Raw genomic sequence first — 21,548 nt, forward strand, 5'->3', positions numbered from 1 at the left:
AAATGCAAGTTATTCTGTTGTGTAATTTTTAAAAGAGTTTTACTTAAAACCTATGAAATGACCATGATTGACAATAATATATGCAGATTTTGGTATTTTTCTGAAAACTTAAATTGTTACTGGTTCAAAGAAATGTTCTCTGAAAATGCATGTTGAATTAATACTGAAACAGTTAATTTTTGGATACCTTTTCTTCTTCTACTAGAAATAGAAGACTTGTTTTCTTCACTTAAACATATCCAACATACTTTGGTAGATTCTCAGAGCCAGGAGGATATTTCACTGCTTTTACAACTTGTTCAAAATAAGGATTTCCAGAATGCATTTAAGATACACAATGCCATCACAGTACACATGAACAAGGCCAGTCCTCCATTTCCTCTTATCTCCAACGCACAAGATCTTGCTCAAGAGGTATGTATTCTAAACATCTTGTTGATGTCTACAAGGTAATTAGTAGTGGCAGGAAGGCAGGATTATTGGAAAATACTAATGTGACTATAAGATTTGTTTGAATTAATTACTGTTAATTACATGTTAATAATGTATTGTGACAGTTTACTACATGCATTTTATCCTAAAAACAAAAAAAGTTTACTTCAGAGTCAGAACACTGTTTCATGAAGAGTTAATTTTTTATATATAATCATAAATTTGGATAGTAACAAATATTTGAATTACTAGAGAGCAATTTGTTAATGTTTTTAGTATAGTTTTATGAATTTTAAGCATTATACATTATAAACTGAGATAGTGAATACTGATGAGATAATTATAACTGATAATCAGGCATTATATAACGCCTAAGATTTATTATGTCTAGGTATTTGGAAGTTTTCCTCCTATAAAAACTGTAGACATTTCAAATTATTAAATCTTAATATACTATGGGAGTTTTTATTGTTAACATGATGACTTAAATTCTTGTTTCTGATGCTAACTGGTGTTCAGTGTTTGATCTGTTATGCAAACATCTTTTAAATTTAAGATTTAAAAAGGGTATAAATAAACTCTCCTGTTTTGGGGAGTAGACAGTCTCTCATTATTCTAGCGTTTTAAGTTATTTTGGTATTATTAAAATGAATAATTCTGGAATCCCATCAAGTGAATGTATTTCATTGAATGCCAACATGAGCAGAAAATGGGCTATTGGGGAGGGAGGACATCTAGAGCTACAGAACCTATAAAATAGGTTAGAAGGTACTTTGTAGATTAGCACATAATTGTCCCCAAGGGAGATATTTTTCTCACTTGTCATATTTACTTATGGTTTAAATGGTTTTCTGAAATTTCTTAAAATTACTTTTCTTACGGAGATTGAAATAACATTACCTTGATCTTATACTATTCACACATGTAGGCAATTCTGGACTCACTTCCAGGATAGAAGGAAAAGACGAGTACCAATATATTTGGTAAAAATATGACATATTTGAGAACACACAGGCAAGTGAACTGGTTTCAAATCCGGTTGGGAAGAATACAAAATAAATCATTATAATCATTCCTGTCCCTTTTAGGAGGAAGGTTTGTCCAGCTGGCTACTGGGTCCTTGTTTTGCTAAATACAACAATGGGTGAAGAAGAGAGTGAGAGAAGCAAGACAGATCACAATTGCTCCAATTGAAAAAAGCTGACACACACAATAGAAAGGTGGAAAGAAGGGAGAAAAGAAACAACTTAGCTTAAAGGGTTTTAGGAGTTGAGAAAAGCAAAGAACTAAAGTGGCTTAAAGAGTAAATGCCTTGGGAAGAAATAAGTTGTTAAAAAGGACTTTAAAAAAGATCAATTTTGAATATTAGTTTTAGGATAGTTCACATATTCACATATGTGAATATAGGATAGTTCACTATTTTAAAAGTACTGTATAAAGGAGATTTTCTGAAAGTTTGCTTTCACGTCCTTAGAGTAACTATAGTGTCTTCAGTGATAGAACGTGAATGGTTTCCCCTGGAGTGTGCATGACTGTGAAGTTGCCCTTTCAGTACATTATACTTGTGAAAAAAGCACATAGTCAGAACTCAACAAGGAGAGGAATGTTAAATCTGATAACAAAATCGTAAAGGTTAAATGGACCCATTGCCTTTATTTTACAGCTGGAAAAAAATATCAGCAATCACCAATCCAACTCCCCTGTTTCACATTCTGAATATTGAGGCCTAGTGAGGTTAAGTTAAAAAAAAAAACTCAAGAAATTTAGTGAAACATTCAGAAGTATTCTTTGTTTACATGGCTTAAAATATCAGTTAAACATTAGGTATCATATAATAATAAAGCCTACGGAAACCTCAAATTTTAAGGTCTAGATTAAATCTTTGATGATCTAGCATATTTACTAATAAACACAAACCAAATTTCTTAGATATTATAGTGCTTTTTTTTTTTTGAGATGGAGTCTTGCACTGTTGCCCAGGCTGGAGTGCAGTGGCACGATCTCAGCTCACTGCAAGCTCTGCCTCCTGGGTTCACGCCATTCTCCTGCCTCAGCCTTCGGAGTAGCTGGGGCTACAGGTGCCCGCCACCATACCCAGCTAATTTTTTGTACTTTTAGTAGAGATGGGGTTTCACCGTGTTAGCCAGGATGGTCTTGATCTCCTGACCTCGTGATCCACCCACCTCGGCCTCCCAAAGTGCTGGGATTACAGGCGTGAGCCACTGCGCCTGGCCCTAGGATATTATAGTGCTTTTATAAAGAAAATTTAGAACTTGGACTTCATTAGATGAACTTATAAACACCTTTAAGAGAGTAAAAATGAAAGCCAACGCGCTGAGAAATGGTATTTGATTTTGAGATATTGAAGTGTGTGTGTGTGTGTGTGTGTGTGTGTAAATACATGACAAAAACTTGTCTATGAAATATATAAAGAACTCTTGTTGGCTGGGTGCGGTCTGTAATACCAGCACTTTGGGAGGCTCACGCCTGTAATCCCAGCATTTTGGGAGGCCAAGGCGGGTGGATCATTTGAGGTCAGGAGTTCAAGACCAGCCTGGCCAACATGGTGAAACCTGGTCTCTACTAAAAAAAAAATACAAAAATTAGCTGGCTGTAGTGGTGTACACCTGCAATTCCAGCTGCTTGGGAGGCTGAGGCAGGAGAATCACTTAAACCCGGGAGGCAAAGGTTGCAGTGAGCTGAGATTGCACCACTGCATTCCAGTCTGGGCGACGGAGTGAGACCCTGTCTCAAAAAAAAAAAAACTCTTGGAAATTAATAAGAAAAAAAGACTACTCGGTTAAAAAAAAATTGACAACAGTCACTTCACAAAAAAGAGGAAATCCAAATGGCCAATAGCAATGAAAAGATAACTAGGCATCATTAGCCAACAGAGAAATGCAAATTAAAACATAATGAGATACAGTTACACTGACACCAGAATGACAATGATTACAATTTAAAAGACTGTCAGTATTGTTTGTGAACTTATGGAACAACTGAAACTCTCATACATCACTGGTGGAGTATAAATTGATACTACCACTTTGGAAAAATGTTTGGCAGTATCTGCTAAAGCTAATGTACCTATATACTGTGACCCAGCAATTTCACTTGTAGGTATATAGCCAAGAGAAATGAAAATGTGTCCACAGAAAAGCTTAAAAACAGATGTTCATAGCAACCAGATAATAGAAACCAAAAAAAACCTAGATGTTTGTCAACCTGTGAAAGTTGCATTAGGCTTTTGCTGTGGAGGAACAATGAGTAAACAATTACAGTCTAATGAGAAGTGCTATGATGGCAATATGAGAAGAGTGCCAACAGCACCGAGATGTGCCTAATTCTGTTTTGGGAGGATGGGAAGGATGAGGGGAATGGTGAGAAGAAGGAAAAAACATAGAAGGAAATTTAATTTGCTGAGTCTTGAGGGGTGACTGAGAATATACCAGGAAGCGTAAGAAAGAGGAAAAGGCATTCCATGCTCAAAGGGTACAGAGGTGGTAGTGAGAGAGAAAGCCTGGCAAATTTCTTGAATGCTAAGTAAGCATAGGACTTAATGTTAAAAGATGGTGTCCAGACGCCGGATGCAGTGGCTCACGCCTGTAATCCCAGCATTTTGGGAGGCCAAGGTGGGCAGATCACGAGGTCAGGAGATCGAGACCATCCTGGCTAACATGGTGAAATGCTGTCTCTACTAAAAATACAAAAAAATTAGGCGGGTGTGGTGGTACTCAGGAGGCTGAGGCAGGAGAATGGCATGAACCCGGGGAGGCAGAGCTTGCAGTGAGCCAAGATCGTGCCACTGCACTCCATCCAGCCTGGGCAACAGAGTGAAACTCTGTCTCAAAAAAAAAAAAAAAAAAAAAAAAAAAAGATGGTGTCTAGATCCTGAAGGCCATTAATAAATTTAAATTTATGCTATGATGGATTACTTTGGTAAATATTTTAAATATTTTAAAAGAATTAACTTATATGAATAGGTGAAAGGAGAAAACCATATGATCTTTGTTTTGAGACAGAGTCTTGCTCTGTCACCCAGGCTGCTGTGCAGTGGCATAATTATGGCTCACTGCAACCTCAACCTCCTGGGCTCAAGCAGTCCTCCCACCTCAGCCTCCTGAATAGCTGGGACTCAAACTCTTGGGCTCAAACAATCCTTCCATCTCAGCCTCCCAGAGTACTGGGATTACAGGCGTGAGCCACAGCACCTGGCCTCCTATGATGATTTTGATGCAGAGAAGGCATCTGAAAAAAATTCAGTACTTTTTCTTTGTTGATACAAATTCTTAGAAAGCCAGTCACATTATTTTAACTTGATAATAGTCAAAAATAATACCACATGTGTGACAAAGCACTTTGGGGGAAAAAAAGAAAAATAATAATACCAGAAACCAATAGCATCTTCCCTAATGGTGAAACACCCACACATTGCCATTTAAGTCTTGAATAAGATAAAGAAACTCCAGATGCCCACCATTAGTATTCAACATTTTTTGGCAGTACCAGTCAGTGCAATAAAACAGGAAGAAGTAATGAATTATGAAGTTGTATAGGAACAGGGAAAATATGAATTAATTTATACAGATGCACACACATATCTCATTTAAACTGCATGTAAGAGGTAATGGAAGAATTAATAAACTATTAAAAAGGCTATCTCTGGGTGTTAGATAAATAGGTAATTTTACTAGTTTTTTTTGTGTTTCTCAAATTTAACAGGAAAAGGTCACTTCATAAAACATTTAAAGCAAGAAATTTATTCTATACATGATTGCGAATCTACTGAAGAATTTTAAACAGATTTATATAAACAGGCTTCTAATTTAAAATATTACTTTGATAACATTGTGGAAAGTCAGTGGAAACAGAATAATGTGGAGGCTATTGTAATTGTCCAGATGTAAGATTTTGAATAGCAGTTGTACATGGATTATAGAAATATTTAAGTAGAAAATTAATAGGACATAGTGTCTATGTGGGTAATAAAGGTAAAGGAGACATCAAGGATGACTTCCTATCCTCTCTTCCTTTCATTGAATTCATTAAATATTTCAGTGCTATTTGTCAGACATTCTGCCAATAGTCAGATATGAAGCTGAATAAGATACAATTCTATCTTCATTGAGCTCAGTCTAGTGGGGAAATAGCCCTATTGATAATTTTAGATCAAATGTTCAGTCTTATGAGTACATATTATCTAGGCAAATAGAATAAGGCAATTCAGGTAGCTGAGACAGCTAGTATAATCACAGTTGTTGTGGGGAGACAGCATGGTTTGTGCAGGGAACAAGCAGTTTAATGCTGAATCAAAAAGGTTAAGGCATAAGGAATGCCAGGAGATAGGGCTGGAAAAGACGAAAGAATCAGATGGTGATGGTCCTTAGATTTAATACTAAGGAGCTTAGACTTAATCTTGTGACAGAGAGCCACTCAGAACTAGAATGGTCATATTTCTGTTTTAAAAAGGATATTTAGTGACATAGAAAAATAAAATATTTTAGTAATTTATTAGTATCAAGTCAAAATAGTTATACTGTTACTAGGGGCCGGACCACCTGAGGTCAGGAGTTCGAGACTAGTCTGGCCAACATGGTGAAACCCTGTCTCTACTAAAAATAAAAAAAACTAGTTGGGTGTGGTGGCGGGCACCTGTAATCCCAGCTACTCAGGAGTCTGAGGCAGGAGAATCGCTTGAACCCGGGAGGCGAAGGTTGCAGTGAGCCAAGATCATGCCATTGCACTCCAGCCTGGGCGACAAGAGTGAAACTCCGTCTCAAAAAAAAAAAAAATACTATTATAAAAACTATGAGTAGCGTGATCTCATTTTGGTAAAAATAAATGTCAAGAATAAAGAAGGGGTATATACATAGAAATTTTCTCAAAGTTTAGATGCTATGAGTACATTTTTGGAGTAACTGACTTTATTGAGATATAATTTACATGCACTTAAAATGAGTGTGTTTTATTGTATAGTTCAGTGTATTTTGACATATATGTACATCTGTAAAACATACAACTGCTATCAAGTTGTAGAAGCATCCATCACTCCACAGAGCTTCTCTCCCACGGCCCTTTGCGATGACAATCACCTCTTTCAATCCTCAGGCCCTATGAATATCCACTGATTTGCTTTCTGTTTTACAAATTTGTCATTTGTGGACATTTCATATAAATGTAATAAGACAATAGGTGGTCTTTTCTGTCAGACTTCTTTTGCTTAGTATAATGTTTTTGAGATTCATCCATGTTGTTCTTGTATCAGTAGTTTGTAAATTGCTGAGTATCATTTCATTCTTTGAATATCCCACAATTTGACCACTTACCTATTGATGGATATTTGGGTTGTTTCCTGTTTATGATTCTAGCAGGTAGGTAATGGTATCTTGTTTTGATTTGCATGTACATAGTGACTAATGATATTGAGCATTATTCTATATGTGTATTGGCTATTTCTCTATCTTTTGTGAAATATCCGGTTAGATCTTATTTCCATTTTAATCGTCTTGAGTTGTAAGAGTTCTTAATATATTCTGGCTACAAGTTCTTTGTCAGATACATATATCAAGGTGAATATTTTGGTAAAAACAAGTAGCGAAATGTAGGAAGGATATATACCAAAGTGATTATCCCTAAGTATAATAAAAGTCCATTCTTTTACTTCCTTCCTTTTGGTTATCAATTTTCTGATTTTTCACATTTAACATACATCATTTTTATAATTAAAAAAATAATTAGTTTTAAAATACAAAAGGGTCTTGCCTCTGAAGGAAAACAAGGAAAAGTGGTATAGCTAAAGAACAGTACAAGGTCAGGAAAAGGTATTTTTAAAGATAAGGGATTAGAGTATTTTTATAGGCCAATGGAAAGGAGCAGTAGAATAAAAGAATAGCCTTTTAATTCCTTAACACCGTTGTAGAAGTAGCTGATGATATGTGTTGACACTAGAATAAGCAACATATAGGTTAGTAGGGCAGTGGGTAAACACGGGAGTTCTAAATTTCTTTAGAAGGTAAGATCTCAGAGATGTTTAGGAACTGACTTAAAAGTGGGAATAGGGAGAAAATCTCTAATACGGAAAATTATTATTGAGCTGACTCAGTGTATTTTGTATACCCTTGGTACATTTTTAATCCAGAATTATCTTCCCATCCTCAGAGTTTCTTCAGCTGTCAAAAGGTGTATGATCAAGACTACAAATTTCATTTAAAATTAATGTAGACTTAATAAACTTTAAAAGGGAAAATACCCTCTTTTAAAAACAACTTTTAGTTACCCACAGTCTTAAATCCTGGGTCTTAAAGCCTTAAAGCCTTGTCCATTGTAAGATTTTAGTTGAGTTCTTGAAGAAGATAATATTTGCTGTGCCGTCCTGTTTATACATATGGAACTCTACAATTAGAAATATAATTTTCTAAGTACCAAAACCTGAGGACAGACTGGTTTTGGTACTGTCATTGCTTTGATCCACTTGCTGTGGTAAAATTAATTAATCCCAAAATTATCATCTCTTGGGTTTCATAGGAAAATTACTGATAAAATGATTTAAAATAGCCATAAAAGGTATAGAATTACTGGGTTCCTGTATTATGAATTACCTTTTTTTTTTTGAGAAAGTCTCATTCCATCATCCAGGCTGGAATGCAGTGGCGCCATCTCAGCTCACTGCAACCTCTACCTCCTGGGTTCAAGCCATTCTCATGCCTCAGCCTCTTGAGTAGCTGGAATTACAGGCACACGCCACCACGCCTGGCTAATTTTTGTATTTTTAGTAGAGACAGTATTTTGCCATGTTGGCCAGGCTGGTCTCGAACTCCTGACCTCAAGTGATCTGCCTGCTTTGGCTTCCCAAAGTGCTGGGATTACTGGTGTGAGCCATTGTATCTGGCCTGTTTTAAGATTTTCTTAATCAGTCTTTGAAGCACCATAAATAGTAGGTGCCATTCTAAAGATAAGGAAACAGGCTAAAAAAATTTATAACCAAGGGGAGTTTATCCTAGGAAGACAAAGATTTCTCGACTGTGGGAAATTTAATGTAATCCATTATATTATGGTGATTGTTCCATTACACTCATATAAATTCATCTTGTTAGACTGTCAGTCTTTTTTTTTAATTATATAAAAAAATTTATAAAATAGAGACAGGGTCTCACTGTGTTGCCCAGGCTGGTCTCAAACTCCTGGGCTTAAGCAATCCGCTTGCCTCAGCCTCTCAAAGTGCTGGGATTACAGGTGTGAGCCACTGCACCCAGCCTGACTATAACTCTTTAAGTTGTCATCTCTGATTTTAAATAGTCACATAAATGATTTAAAAACTATAAAATAGCAAGGTAACTGTTAGGACAGTTTTTCTTTTCTTATGTAATTATTATTAATGAATTTTATGGTATGTTGGGTGAAACGTTCAAGATGGAAGTATTTTGTCTATAGGCGTAAGTACCAAAATATTATTTAGTGTTTTTTTAATAAGAAATACTGTTGTTTTATCCATAATAACAAGATTGAAAACTCTAATAATTCTTTTTAGTGATTTTATTTCTTACAAGTATTTTTATTATTTTAATTTGTACTTAAAAAATATGACCCTGCATACAGGTGCTACTGATACTTCCTATAATCTAGGAAGAATAATCTTTATTTTTGTTTCTTAGGTACAAACTGTTTTGAAGCCAGTTCATCATAAGGAAGGACAAGAACTAACTGCTTTGCTGAATACTCCACATATTCAGGTAGAAAATGGACAGAATACTATATATGTGGTTTTTCCAGCATTCTTCTATTTTTTTAAATCAAAGACTCCAGTACTGGAAGAGATGTCAAACATTCTCTAGCCTATTTTGATGTTTACAACCCCATCTATAACATAGTAGTTATTGTTGGATTATATATTTTCAGATTTAAAATGAACCAAATTATTTTTGAAACAACTTTTTCTTTAAAAATTAGGCAAAAATTCTTCCCCCCTTTGGTTGTATTTTCTGTAAGTTTAATTATCTAGGGTGTGTAGACCTTTACATTGATGTTATCTTCCGAAGTTTAGTAAGCATTTTAGACTTTCATAACCCATTCCAGAGTATGCCCTTAGTATACTTAACACATCTTTATTATTAGCTCTAATTAATTATAACACTTTTAAAGATTTAATGGTCAGAATACTATGTACATAGGTTAAAAATCACTCTGCAGAAATAAATCATGCTGTTACTTAAAATGCCATGGATTTCTTTGAAACAGGCACTTTTACTGGCCCACGATAAGGTTGCTGAGCAGGAAATGCAGCTAGAGCCCATTACAGATGAGAGAGTTTATGAAAGTATTGGCCAGTATGGAGGAGAAACTGTAAAAATAGTTCGTATAGAAAAGGCTCGTGATATTCCGTTGGTAAGTGTCCCACATACTGTTTTTAAACAAGTGCATTTTTCTGCTGTTGTGTGCTTCAAAAGTCTGGTTAATTTCAGAATTCTAATGAATAGAGTATTTCTGAAGCAGAAAGTGTGGGGGAAATGGTCAACTTTTAAATCTAATTACAATTACTCTAGTTGTGTAAATAAATTTTTTCTTAAGATAACTGAAGGTTAGTATTGTTGAATGGAAAAAATAGAATTTAAAAATAAATGCTTAACAAAAATTGTATTATTTTTATTTTTAAATTATACATATATATATTTTTAGGGTGCTACAGTTCGTAATGAAATGGACTCTGTCATCATTAGCCGGATAGTAAAAGGGGGTGCTGCAGAGAAAAGTGGTCTGTTGCATGAAGGAGATGAAGTTCTAGAGATTAATGGCATTGAAATTCGGGGGAAAGATGTCAATGAGGTTTTTGACTTGTTGGTAAGTTGACGCAGCTAGAAGAATAATTGATAGCTTTTAGAAAGCTCTTATTAGACTTTAGAATAAAATATTTTTAAAATAACTGTTAAGAGCACTAGATGATTTCTAGCCTGATTTTTCCATGATGTAACTGTTCCACAGTATTTGTTAGCAGTTTTATTTTTGGGTGGTACCACTGATATTTTTTTACTTTCTGATGTATCACTATCACATATATTTTATTTTTCTGGAATCAGTAATATAACTCATTAATTCACTCAGTACATATTTATTGAGTGCCTAATATGCACTAGCCACTTGGGAAACAGTAACAAAACAAAGTCTGTGTCCTGATGATTTTTTGTGTTCTTTTATTTTATTATCTGTAATTGATTGTTGTTTTCCTAATAATATTAGATAATAACAGTGCTATAGATCTGCAGTGTCCGGCATAATAATCACTAGCTGCATATAGCTATTTCTGTTTAAATTAAGTAAAATTTAAAATTCAGTTCCTTATTCGCACTAGCTGCATTTCAAGTGCTGAGAAGCAGTATGTAGCTAATGGCTACCATTATTAAGATACAGAAATAGCACATTTCCATCATTGGAGAAAGTTCTATTGGATAGTGCTAGTATAATCAGAAAATCATTTCTAGACATCTTTTGAGTGCAATTTATGATCACTTTGTACACACGCACAGACTAGATTTATGGTCCTAGTTATTCAGCATCTGTTATTACAGTGGAATCTGTACTATCTACTGATTCTGTTGTAAAATCTAGAGACATCTTCACACACTTATTTTCATCCAGCCCCATTCATTGCTTTGGTAGAGCAAAGTGCTGCTGGTCATTTAAGTCTGTGGAGGGGTTCTGAAATAGTCCAGTTTAGGGAATATAGATCATAAAATCATGGAATGATTTTCATAAATGCAAATTTAAAAAATAACCTGATCTTTCTATTACAGTCTGATATGCATGGTACTTTGACTTTTGTCCTGATTCCCAGTCAACAGATCAAGCCGCCTCCTGCCAAGGAAACAGTAGTAAGTGATTTTTAAATGTTCATTATTTATGTGTTTGTGGATGCTGTTTACTTCTGTTACTGTTTACTGTTACAGAAATGTCACTGTTTCCTGTACTCAAATAAATTCAATCATTTTTATTTAAATAAATATGAAATATCAATGTTTTAAATTAGTAAACTCTGCACCTTTTTTTTTGGAAGGTGGAAGATGGAATCTCCATCTGTTGCCCAGGGTAGAGTGCAGTGGTGTGATCTTGGCTCACTGCAACCTATGCCTTCCAGGTTCAAATGATTCTCCCACCTCAGCCTCTTGAGTAGCTGGGATTCCAGGCGCATGCCACCACACCCAGCTGATTTTTGTATTTTTGGTAGAGACAGGGTTTTGCCATGTTGGCCAGGCTGATCTTGAACGCCTGGCTTCATGTGATCTGCCTGCCTCGGCCTCCCAAAGTGCTGGGATTACAGGTGTGAGCCTTCACATCCAGCCAACTCTGCACCTTTTTAAAATAAAAAGTAGAAAATAATTTCAGTTTCAGAATTTTTTTTATAGTTATAGGTGGGTTTACTTAACTTAGTATGGAGTAGGGCAAGTGCTTTTTAAAAAGTATGTGTAACCCTTCTTTTAGAGTATATTGTTCTGTTAGACATTTACTCAGCTAGATCTGTTAAAAGTCAGTCTCCATTACCATACAGTCAAGCAATTGCATTCCAAAGTATATATCCAAAAGGACTGAAAACATATATTCACATAAGAATGTCTACATGAATGTTCATAGCAGCAGCATTCACAGTAGCTAGAAAGTAGTAACAACCCAAATGTCTGTCAGGTGATGAATCAAAGACAAAATATGTATGTATGATGGGATATTATTTGATAATTTTAAAAGCCTACAGTACTGATATATGCTACAACATGGATGAACCTTGAAGAAATTATGCTGAGCGAAGGAAGCCAGTCACAAAAGGCCATATATTGGTTCATTTATATAAAATGTCCAGAATAGGTAAATCCATAGGAGAGAAAGCAGATTAGTAATTCCTTAGATGTGGAGATGAGGATTTATGAGGGAATGGTGATTACTAATCAGTACCAAGTTTCTTTTTGAGGGCATAAGTATGTTTTAAAATTGTTTGTGGTGATAATTGTACAAATCTGTGAATAAACTAAAACCATCCAATTGTGTACATGAGTGAATTGTATATGAATTATATATCAATAAAGCTATTTAAAAATGAAACTTTAAAGTGTTGAATTAACATGGAAGCTTGATGTATTGCATCTGTTATTCTTAACTTTAAAGCATAGCAGTTTGAGAAAGAACACAGTTTCATTTTTCTCTCAATATTTCATCACAGGTATGCTTTATAGTTTGGCTATCATTCCATGTTTTCCCTTAATTTTTTACAGAACATACGGAAGTTGATATTGTATCTGCAACCTACTTTATGTTTACAGTTTTTTTGCAGGAAGAGAAATGAGGAAATATAGTTTGTCTTTGAATTTAAACAGCTTGATTCTCTGTGCATTGTGCTGTTCCCTGTATCTCTTCTGTGTATAAGCCCTGAACTTCAAAAGTAGCTCTGCAAACTGAGGAAACATAACAGAGGAGGGTTGGAATATACTCCTACTTACTTATCTACAATAATCCATCCCTCCTGAGTAAATGACTTTTGTCTTTTGAGAATAAATGTCAGAAGTTAAGACATTTTTTTTTTTTGAGGTGGGATCTGGCTCTATTATCCAGGCTGGAGTGCAGTGATGTGATCACGACTCCTGCAGCCTTGACTGCCTGGGCTCAAGCAGTCCTCCTACCTCAGCCTCCCTAGTAGCTGGAAACACAGATGCATACTACCACATCCGGCTAATTTTTTTGTACTTTTGGTAGAGATGGCTTTCACTATGTTGCCCAGGCTAGTCTCGAACTCCTGAGCTCAAGTGGTCCACCCGCCTCGGCCTCCCGAAGTGTTGGGATTACAGACGTGAGCCACAATGCCCAGCCAAGACATGTTTTCTCAACATTTTTTTCCTGCTATTCATGCAGAATCTGGAATTCTGTAAAAGAAAAGCCATTTTTTTCATGGATAGAATTAATCGAAGTGTTACATTGAAACTTGTTGATTCTCGTTGTATGCAAAACAGAATATCAAAGCAATTAACTTACACAGATTGTTTCAACCTAAGAATGAAATAACTTACTTATCCTTTAGTGGTTATTTAACCCCCAACTTTCATTATTGATTAAGAATAAAAGGCTGGTTTAATCTGAAGACCAAAGGAATATAGGTTCATGGTGAACAATCTCTGGAACTACTTAACTGGAAAATGAAGTAGCTTAAAAAGGAAGAAAGTGGGAGAAAGAGCAAAATGCCACATCTATCCCTTTTAAAATGGAGCTTTTTCTGTTCTTTTTACTTGGAGTCTCACTCTTGTCACCGAGGCAAGCAGTGGCACCATCTGGGCTCACTGCAACCTCCGCCTCCCAGAGTCAAGCAGTTCTCCTGCTTCAGCCTCCCTAGTAGCTGAGACTACAAGTGCATGCCACCACATCCAGCTAATTTTTGTATTTTTAGCAGAGATGGGGTTTCACTATGTTGGCCATGCTGGTCTCGAACTCCTGACCTCAGGTGATCTGCCCGCCTTGGCCTCCCAAAGTGCTGGGATTACAGGCATGAGCCACCGAACCCGGCCTATTTTCATATTTAAAGTAGGGATCTTTTCAGAATAGAGTGATGTGCAGTATTTTTCTTTTCCTTCTTTTCTCTTTTGTTTTTTGTTTTTTTTGAGACAGAGTCTTGCTCTGTCGCCCAGGCTGGAGTACAGTGGTGCGATCTTGGCTCACTGTAACCTCTGCCTCCTGTGTTCAAGCATTCTCCTGACTCAGCCTCCCAAGTAGCTGGGATTACAGGCGCCCGCCACCATGCCTGGCTGAATTTGTGTGTGTGTGTGTGTGTGTGTTTGTGTATTTTTAGTAGAGACAGAGTTTCACCATGTTGGCCAGGCTGGTCTTGAACTCCTGACCTCTGATGATCCGCCCACCTTGGCCTCCCAAGTGCTGGGATTACAGGCATGAGCCACCATGCCCAGCCCCTTCTTTTCTCTTTTTATTATGAATAACTCTCAATTGCAATATATCTTGCCAAGTTTTGTCAGACCTAACTGGCTTAAAATGAACTGCTATTATTAAAGCTCATTGAGGCTGTCCAGAAAGGAAACAGTAATAGGAAATCATAATCTTGGTTGACATATGCAGAATAATTATCTATGGAATTAATAATCTAAAGAAATTAGAACCAATTTATTGAGTATCATTATGGTACAGGTCAGCATCTGTTGATAGCAGCAGCAGCAGATATCTTCCTGATTTATGTTTTGTGATGTTAGAAATGTGTTTAAGACAGATATACAAAATAAGTGTTATCTGAAACCCCTATATAATGACTTGTTGAATTATGATGTCATGTATGGCAATAATAAGCTGTGTCAGAAGTGCTCTCTTGAGTTCTTAAATTTCTTTTGTATCACACATAGCAATCAGTGGCTGCTCTTTCAGTAGCAGAGGGCAAGAGTCTTGGCACCTCTGTATTTCACTTCCTGAGTAACTGGCACATTTGATCTAGGAAATGCATACATTATTCAAACGTACAGTTTCCTTCTCTCGGCCTTTTTAAAAAAAGGAAGGATTGGATTTCCCAGACTAGTTTGTAAAACTTTAGATTATTCTATACTATAATAATATGTAGGGAGGGCATAATAGACTTTTATCTGAATGGGACTTTTTCATTTAGTCTAATGCCATAATCTAACAAGGAGTGTATTTAAATGAAGAAGGATCACATCGCTTATTAGTTACAGAATATGTACCAGAAAATTAACAGATTATTGATTGTTTAATACATATAAGCTATTATTATGATTATGTACTCTGTGCCAGGCACTACAGAGATAACTGTGTTGTAAAGAAAAGTTGAGAACCACTGCTATCAAATACATTGCTTTCCCATTATAGGTATAAAAATGTATTAATAAAGACATTTATTTCTTGGTGGATGTGGGGAAAGGAGAAATTCTAGTGTTGTGTGGAGATACTTAAAAACTTGCTTGGTGCTATAAAGGCTTTCCTTGACTCACTTTCACTATTTTCTCTTCTACAATGAACTTTAAGAGTTAAAGATAAATCTGCGATAGTAAGAGATACAGAAATAAAAATTACAAAGAAAAATATTTTGGTAGCAGAGATGTGGAATCAACCTAAATGCCCATCGATGATAGATTCGATAAAGAAAATGTGGTATATATACACCATGGAATACGAATGCAGCCATAAAAAAATGAGATCATATCCTTTGCAGGGACATGGATGGAGTTGGAGGCCATTGTCCTTAGCAAACTAACACAGGAACAGAAAACCAAAAACCACATGTTCTCTTACATGTGGGAGCTAAATGATGAGAACACGTGGACACATAAAGGGGAACAACACACACTAGGGTCTTTCAGAGGGTAGAGGGCAGGGGGAGGGAGAGGATCAGGAAAAGTAACTAATGGGTACTAGGCTTAATACCTGGGTGATGAAATAATCTGTACAACAAACCCCCAACACACAAGTTTACCTATGTAACAAACCTGCAGTTGGATCCCTGAACTTAACAGTTTAAAAAAAAAAAAAGTCAGTGTAAAAAGTATAAAAGCCAACCTAATACTTAGACAATAGAAAAGGGAAAAACCAAACTTCCTTTTTTTTTTTTTTCTTTTTTTTCTCTTTGATTTTGAGGGCGTCACCAATGTGATAGCCTTACCTTCATGAGTACTAACCTTTCCATTAAGCTAATCCCAAAGTTGTCTCCCAAGTACACTGTCCAGGTGGTTGTGGCAAATTTATACTTTTCCAAAGGAGTGTCCATTGAGCAAGTGGAATATAGATCCTGAGTTTTAGATCAGCACTCTCCAAATATTTTTTTCTTTTTCTTTTTTTTTTTTTTTTGGAGACAGAGTTTCACTCTGTTGTCCAGGCTGGAGTGCAATGGTGCCATCTTGGCTCACTGCAACCTCCGCCTCCTGGGTTCAAGTGATTCTCCCGCCTCAGCCTCCCAAGTAGCTGGGATTACAGCTACCCTGTACCGTGTACAAGTACCATCTACTGTGCCACCAGCTAATTTTGTTTTATACCTTTATCAATTAAAAAACATTGAACATGTCCCCTCCCATATTGTATATATATGTACTACTCTACTTACTATCCCAAATTACAATATAGGACAAGTTTTATTAATAAGTAATTCTAATAGCCTTCTTGATTGGTTGAAAAACAATATTTTGGAACATTGGATCCCTAAAAAACATGTAAATAAACTGATGAATCATTATCCCTGTACCCTATCCCCATTTCATCATTACGACTTCAAATGTGAACAGCTTATAGATATTAAAAAAAGGAAAAAGAAAATGTTGGGCTGGAAGATAATTGCGTCCAAACAGTTCTACAATTTGAAATGTAAACAGAAGATTTTGTTTTGTTCAGAAGCCAAATACTGTTTTGATCAGATATACTGTTCTGATATTATTATAGCATTATGAGGCCCTGGACCTTTCCTATGAGGGTCAGCTTATCTCCTTCATTTTAAAGGGGCTTTTTTTGTTGTATGAGAAACAAAATAATTTTGACACTAGCAGGAAAGATTGGTGGAGATAACTTCTAGAACTGGTAAGAATTAATCAGTGGAATATATGGATAAAAGTCATATAGTATCTGTTAAGGCAATACCCAGACTTTAACTCATTCAAATCATTAATTTTTCAGATGTGAAATAAATTTTCCTTAGGAAAAATTAATAAGAGCCTTTTCCTCTTAATTTTAGGAAAGTAAGAGCTTTTTCTCTTAATTTTAGGGTATATTTTAGATGGGACTAGAGAAACTTGTCACATAAGTAAAGCATGTTCTCTTCCCAGCCTACACAAAGAGGGGCCCTGTTCCAAGCCAGTTAAATTAGAATAGTTAAGGGATGAGAACTGCATAGGCAAGAGTACATGGAAAAGCATCTCTGGGTGATTTTGTTGGCCTATGGCAATGGTCATAAATGTAGATATTCCCTCCTCACGGGTCTTAATTTCTCTCAGGGTAGTAGTTCCCTAAGATTGCTGTACCTAATAATTACCCAAGGAACCTGATTAAAATTCAGAGTCTGAGAGTCTGAGGTGCGGCATGAGAATTCATCATTTTAATAAACATCCTAGGCAGGTGATCTGAGCAAAAACACTTTGAAAAACAACATACTGGGTAGGCTTTCAGAAAGTGATTTGATAAAATTGTCAATCAAGATTGACAAGTACTTTGATTTGATCTTTGAAAAATCTGGTAAAATTGATCTCTCCACTACAAGTGATGCCAAAAATTCCATTTTTAGATTCTCAAGGTTTTTTTTTTTTGGCAAAAAAGTAACAAACAGATTCTAGAAGTATTATTGATAGGATGGTGCTCAAGCACTTTTTTTTTTTTAAAGAAAACATATTTCTAGATAAAACTACATAGGAGATTTTTCCTCATGCCAAGATTATAAATTTGTATAATCTTTTTGCTCAATCTCTTAACTGTGTTTTGATTCACTGCTATCCCACACAACTTTCTAAAATTCATTTTTAGTGCTGACTGAGAAAGATTTCAAGATTTTAATAAAAACTGTTTTTTCACATCTAGAATGAGGTTCTTTAGGGCACTTTGCATTTAGGATGAGCCACAACACTTTCAAATTTGGTGTGTTATCTTAACTATATTTGGTACAAGATTATATACTATGCTATTCCATGTATATGAATTAATATACAGGGGAAAATAATCAGTGTTTCTAGAAATCAGGATGATGTTTATCCTTGGAGGGGATGGGATGGGTAGTGATGGAAAGAGACCAGGTGGGGCCTCTGAGGTGTTGGTGATATGATGGTTGTTGATTTGGATGCTAGTTATACAGGTCTGTTTAGTTAGTGAAAATTCACTATGCTATACACTTATGATAATGTGTATTTTTTGTGTATCAAAAGTTACTCCCAAAAGGCATAATAACATTTAAGTTTTGCTGGTAGCTGTTTAACTTTTATATCTTTGTATTTTTAACCAGATCATTTTTTAACCTTAGTTTCAGTTTGTATATTAGGACTCAGCTTTATTTCCTATTTATAGAAGTTAATAAAATATTCTTTGAAATTAAAAAATATTCTTTAATGACAAGCCAAAAATTTTTTAAAAAGCCATTTATCTGTCTATCTATCTATCTATGTCTATCTTTGTCACTTAGCATTTTTTCCAATTTCATATAGTCTGTCATCGACAGTACTCATTTTAGTCAGTGTCTCAAGTGCTTAAAGAGCGCTTAAAAAGTGCCCCTTTTGGGGTAGACTGGTATTACTTTTATTACATATAACCTCAATTATGGTGAGAGTAAAACACTTAAAGCTAAGGCCAGGCGTGGTGGCTCGTGTCTGTAATCCCAGCACTTTGGGAGGCCAAGGCAGGTGGATCACCTGAGGTCAGGAGTTCAAGACCAGTGTGGCCAACTGGCGAAATCCTGTTTCTACTAAACATACAAAAATTAGCTGGGCGTTGTGGTGAGTGCCTGTAATCCCAGCTACTCGGGAGGCTCAGACAGGAGAATCACTTGAACCCGGGAGATGGAGTTTGCAGTGAGCCAAGATTGTGCCACTGAACTCCAGCCTGGGCAACAGAGCGAGACTCCGTCTCAAAAAAAAAAAAAAAAAAAAGCCAAAGCCAAATAATATTTGGATAGAAATGGACCTTGAATTCTTAGACTGTTTGTCTTTTGCTTGGTTCGTTGAGCCTGAACTTGGAATTTAACCTATGTGTGACAGAAATGCTCACTGCAAATATGTGGGCAGAAATGCTCATTACAAATTTGTGTGAGATCTCATTAGATGAAGTAGATTTCTTATAGATTTTGGAAGTGTCACATGCAACTTGCCCAGGTTAGGTAAAAATTAGACATGGGGAAATTAAAGAGAATTTTAATTCCTTTATAACTTCTTAGAAGTAAGAATAGTCTGTCATATCTTACAGAGGCATATTGGAAGAAATGGCATACAGAATAGCTTATAAAGTTCATGAGAGTTACTACCTGCCCTTAATGCTAAGTAGAATAGCACAATTCTTTGATTTATTCTGATTTCCAAAAACACATTATTAGCAAAAATTATAACTTGTACCGTTAATAATATGTCAAAGCCTACATAGCATACAAATAAGAATTGATTATAAACTTGATTTAGTTAATTTTAGTCGTTGATAGTGTGCTTGTTTCATGAACATATCCTTTAAAAGAAACGCCAAGAGAGTTTAAGGCATAGTTGGACTGACAGTGGGGTCAAGAGACAATGACAGCCCCAGGGAAGCTCATATTTACCTGCTTAGATGAAGAGATGTGGTAAGGTAAAGTGTACCTTTTCTAGTAGCTGTGGTTTGGAAATTGCATACCTTATTGCAGAGTCATTGTTTTCACAGGTCAGGATTCTATTCTATTTCTGCTTCTCTCAAGCTTTTGAGGCACCTTGTACCTCAGCTTGTAGCTGCGAACAGTGTTGTGGATATCCTTGTACATATCTGCAAGTCAACAGAGAAGATAACAGATCAGCCTGAAAAAATATTGCCCAAAAACACTGTTACTTAACACCCTTCTTCCAACTACAATTTCTTTGCACTGATGAAAAATTGTGGCCAAGTGCAGTGGCTCACACCTATAATCCCACCACTTTGGGAGGCTGAGGGAGAAGGATCGCTTGAGGCTAGAAATTTGAGATTATCCTGGACAACATACTGAGATGCTGTCTCTATTAAATTTTTTTAAAATTAAAAAATAATAAAAAATTTGTAGCATTTAAATTGTATTCATATGAAACATTTTATATTGCCATTTATTGTTGTTTTTGCCCTTTTTATCTTTTAGATCCATGTAAAAGCTCATTTTGACTATGACCCCTCAGATGACCCTTATGTTCCATGTCGAGAGTTAGGTCTGTCTTTTCAAAAAGGTGATATACTTCATGTGATCAGTCAAGAAGATCCAAACTGGTGGCAGGCCTACAGGGAAGGGGACGAAGATAATCAACCTCTAGCCGGGCTTGTTCCAGGTAAGACACAATATGGTAGAAAGTACATAATATTAAAAGAACATTGAAAATGCAAGCCTTCACAAAGAAAAACTCACTCTTTCATGCCTCTATTTAATAAAGTATTCCAGTTACTTTTTCGTGTAGTTGGGTTTTTATGTTGTACCTGCAGCGTAAGTATATTAAATAGAATGTGGCCAATTCTTTGGCCTTTAGAATGGAATTATGTATAACTTCAGCCAATCCCATATTGTAGTACATTTCCTGTATACATATTAAGATGACCGTATTATCGAGGCAATACAACTTGTATTATACTATATACTATATACTATGACATTAATTGGAGCATCAACATGATTTTTGAGAAGGAAAGATGCATAACTTTATAAGGAGTCAGGAAAAGTAACATCATAGAATTTATTGTACCAAACGTGATCTTAGGGCAGAAACAGGATGCTCCAAATTTTTTATTGATGAAACTATCCCTAACTTAGACTAAACTAAAACTTTAGCTTACATTATAGATTAAGATTATTAAGGGGACATGTTTCTGAGAGTTAAGATGATACAAAATAGAACAAAGTACAGTCATGCATCACTTAACGACAGGGATAAGTTCTGAGAAATGTGCCATTAGGTGATTTCATTGTTGTGCAAACATCACTGAGTGTATTTACACAAACCTAGATGATATAGCCTGCTGTACAGCTAGGCTATGTGGTATAGCCTATTCCTCCAACCACCATCATATATATGGTTGGTTGTTGACTGAAATGTTGTTATGCAGTGCATGACTGTATGTAGATATAATTATTTTCTACAAATGGCTCTTACAGTTCCCAGGATGGCAGTAGAATAAAGAAAGGAGAGCAGAACTAAGGGAAGTTTAATAAGCTATCGGAGAAGGCAAAGGAATACATACAGGATGATAAAAATAGGGATATAGAGTAAAGGGATAATAATTCATCCATTTATTTGTTAATAAATGCTGTTATGTCTGCACCATGTAAAGCACTTTGCCTGGTGCTGAGATAAACTTCGCTTACATACTTTACTTGAAAGCATATCCATTAACACTTATGTATATTTTTTTCTTCTGTGTCCCCTACTTTATAATATTTTCATGATATTGTCTCTGTTATAATTCTTTCTACTGTATAT

General features: G+C 35.7%; 2 protein-coding genes across 14 annotated transcripts in view; both read left to right on the forward strand.

Moving 5' to 3' along the window:
- The window catches only part of GPHN (gephyrin), a 1,227,209-nt gene that overhangs the window by 784,159 nt on the left and 421,502 nt on the right, over positions 1-21,548 (forward strand). The gene's annotated exons all lie outside the window — the stretch shown is intronic.
- PALS1 (protein associated with LIN7 1, MAGUK p55 family member) overlaps positions 1-21,548 on the forward strand; it is a 94,627-nt gene that overhangs the window by 50,871 nt on the left and 22,208 nt on the right. For all 13 annotated transcript variants that reach the window (XM_047431691.1, XM_047431692.1, XM_011537086.3 and 10 more), the window contains 6 exons: positions 206-414; positions 9,084-9,161; positions 9,667-9,813; positions 10,105-10,266; positions 11,217-11,294; positions 20,222-20,405. In XM_047431691.1, the coding sequence (XP_047287647.1) occupies positions 206-414; positions 9,084-9,161; positions 9,667-9,813; positions 10,105-10,266; positions 11,217-11,294; positions 20,222-20,405 (858 nt within the window). The remainder of the gene's footprint in view (positions 1-205; positions 415-9,083; positions 9,162-9,666; positions 9,814-10,104; positions 10,267-11,216; positions 11,295-20,221; positions 20,406-21,548) is intronic.

Source organism: Homo sapiens, chromosome 14 (genome assembly GCF_000001405.40).
Source record: "Homo sapiens chromosome 14, GRCh38.p14 Primary Assembly".
NCBI lineage: Eukaryota > Metazoa > Chordata > Mammalia > Primates > Hominidae > Homo > Homo sapiens.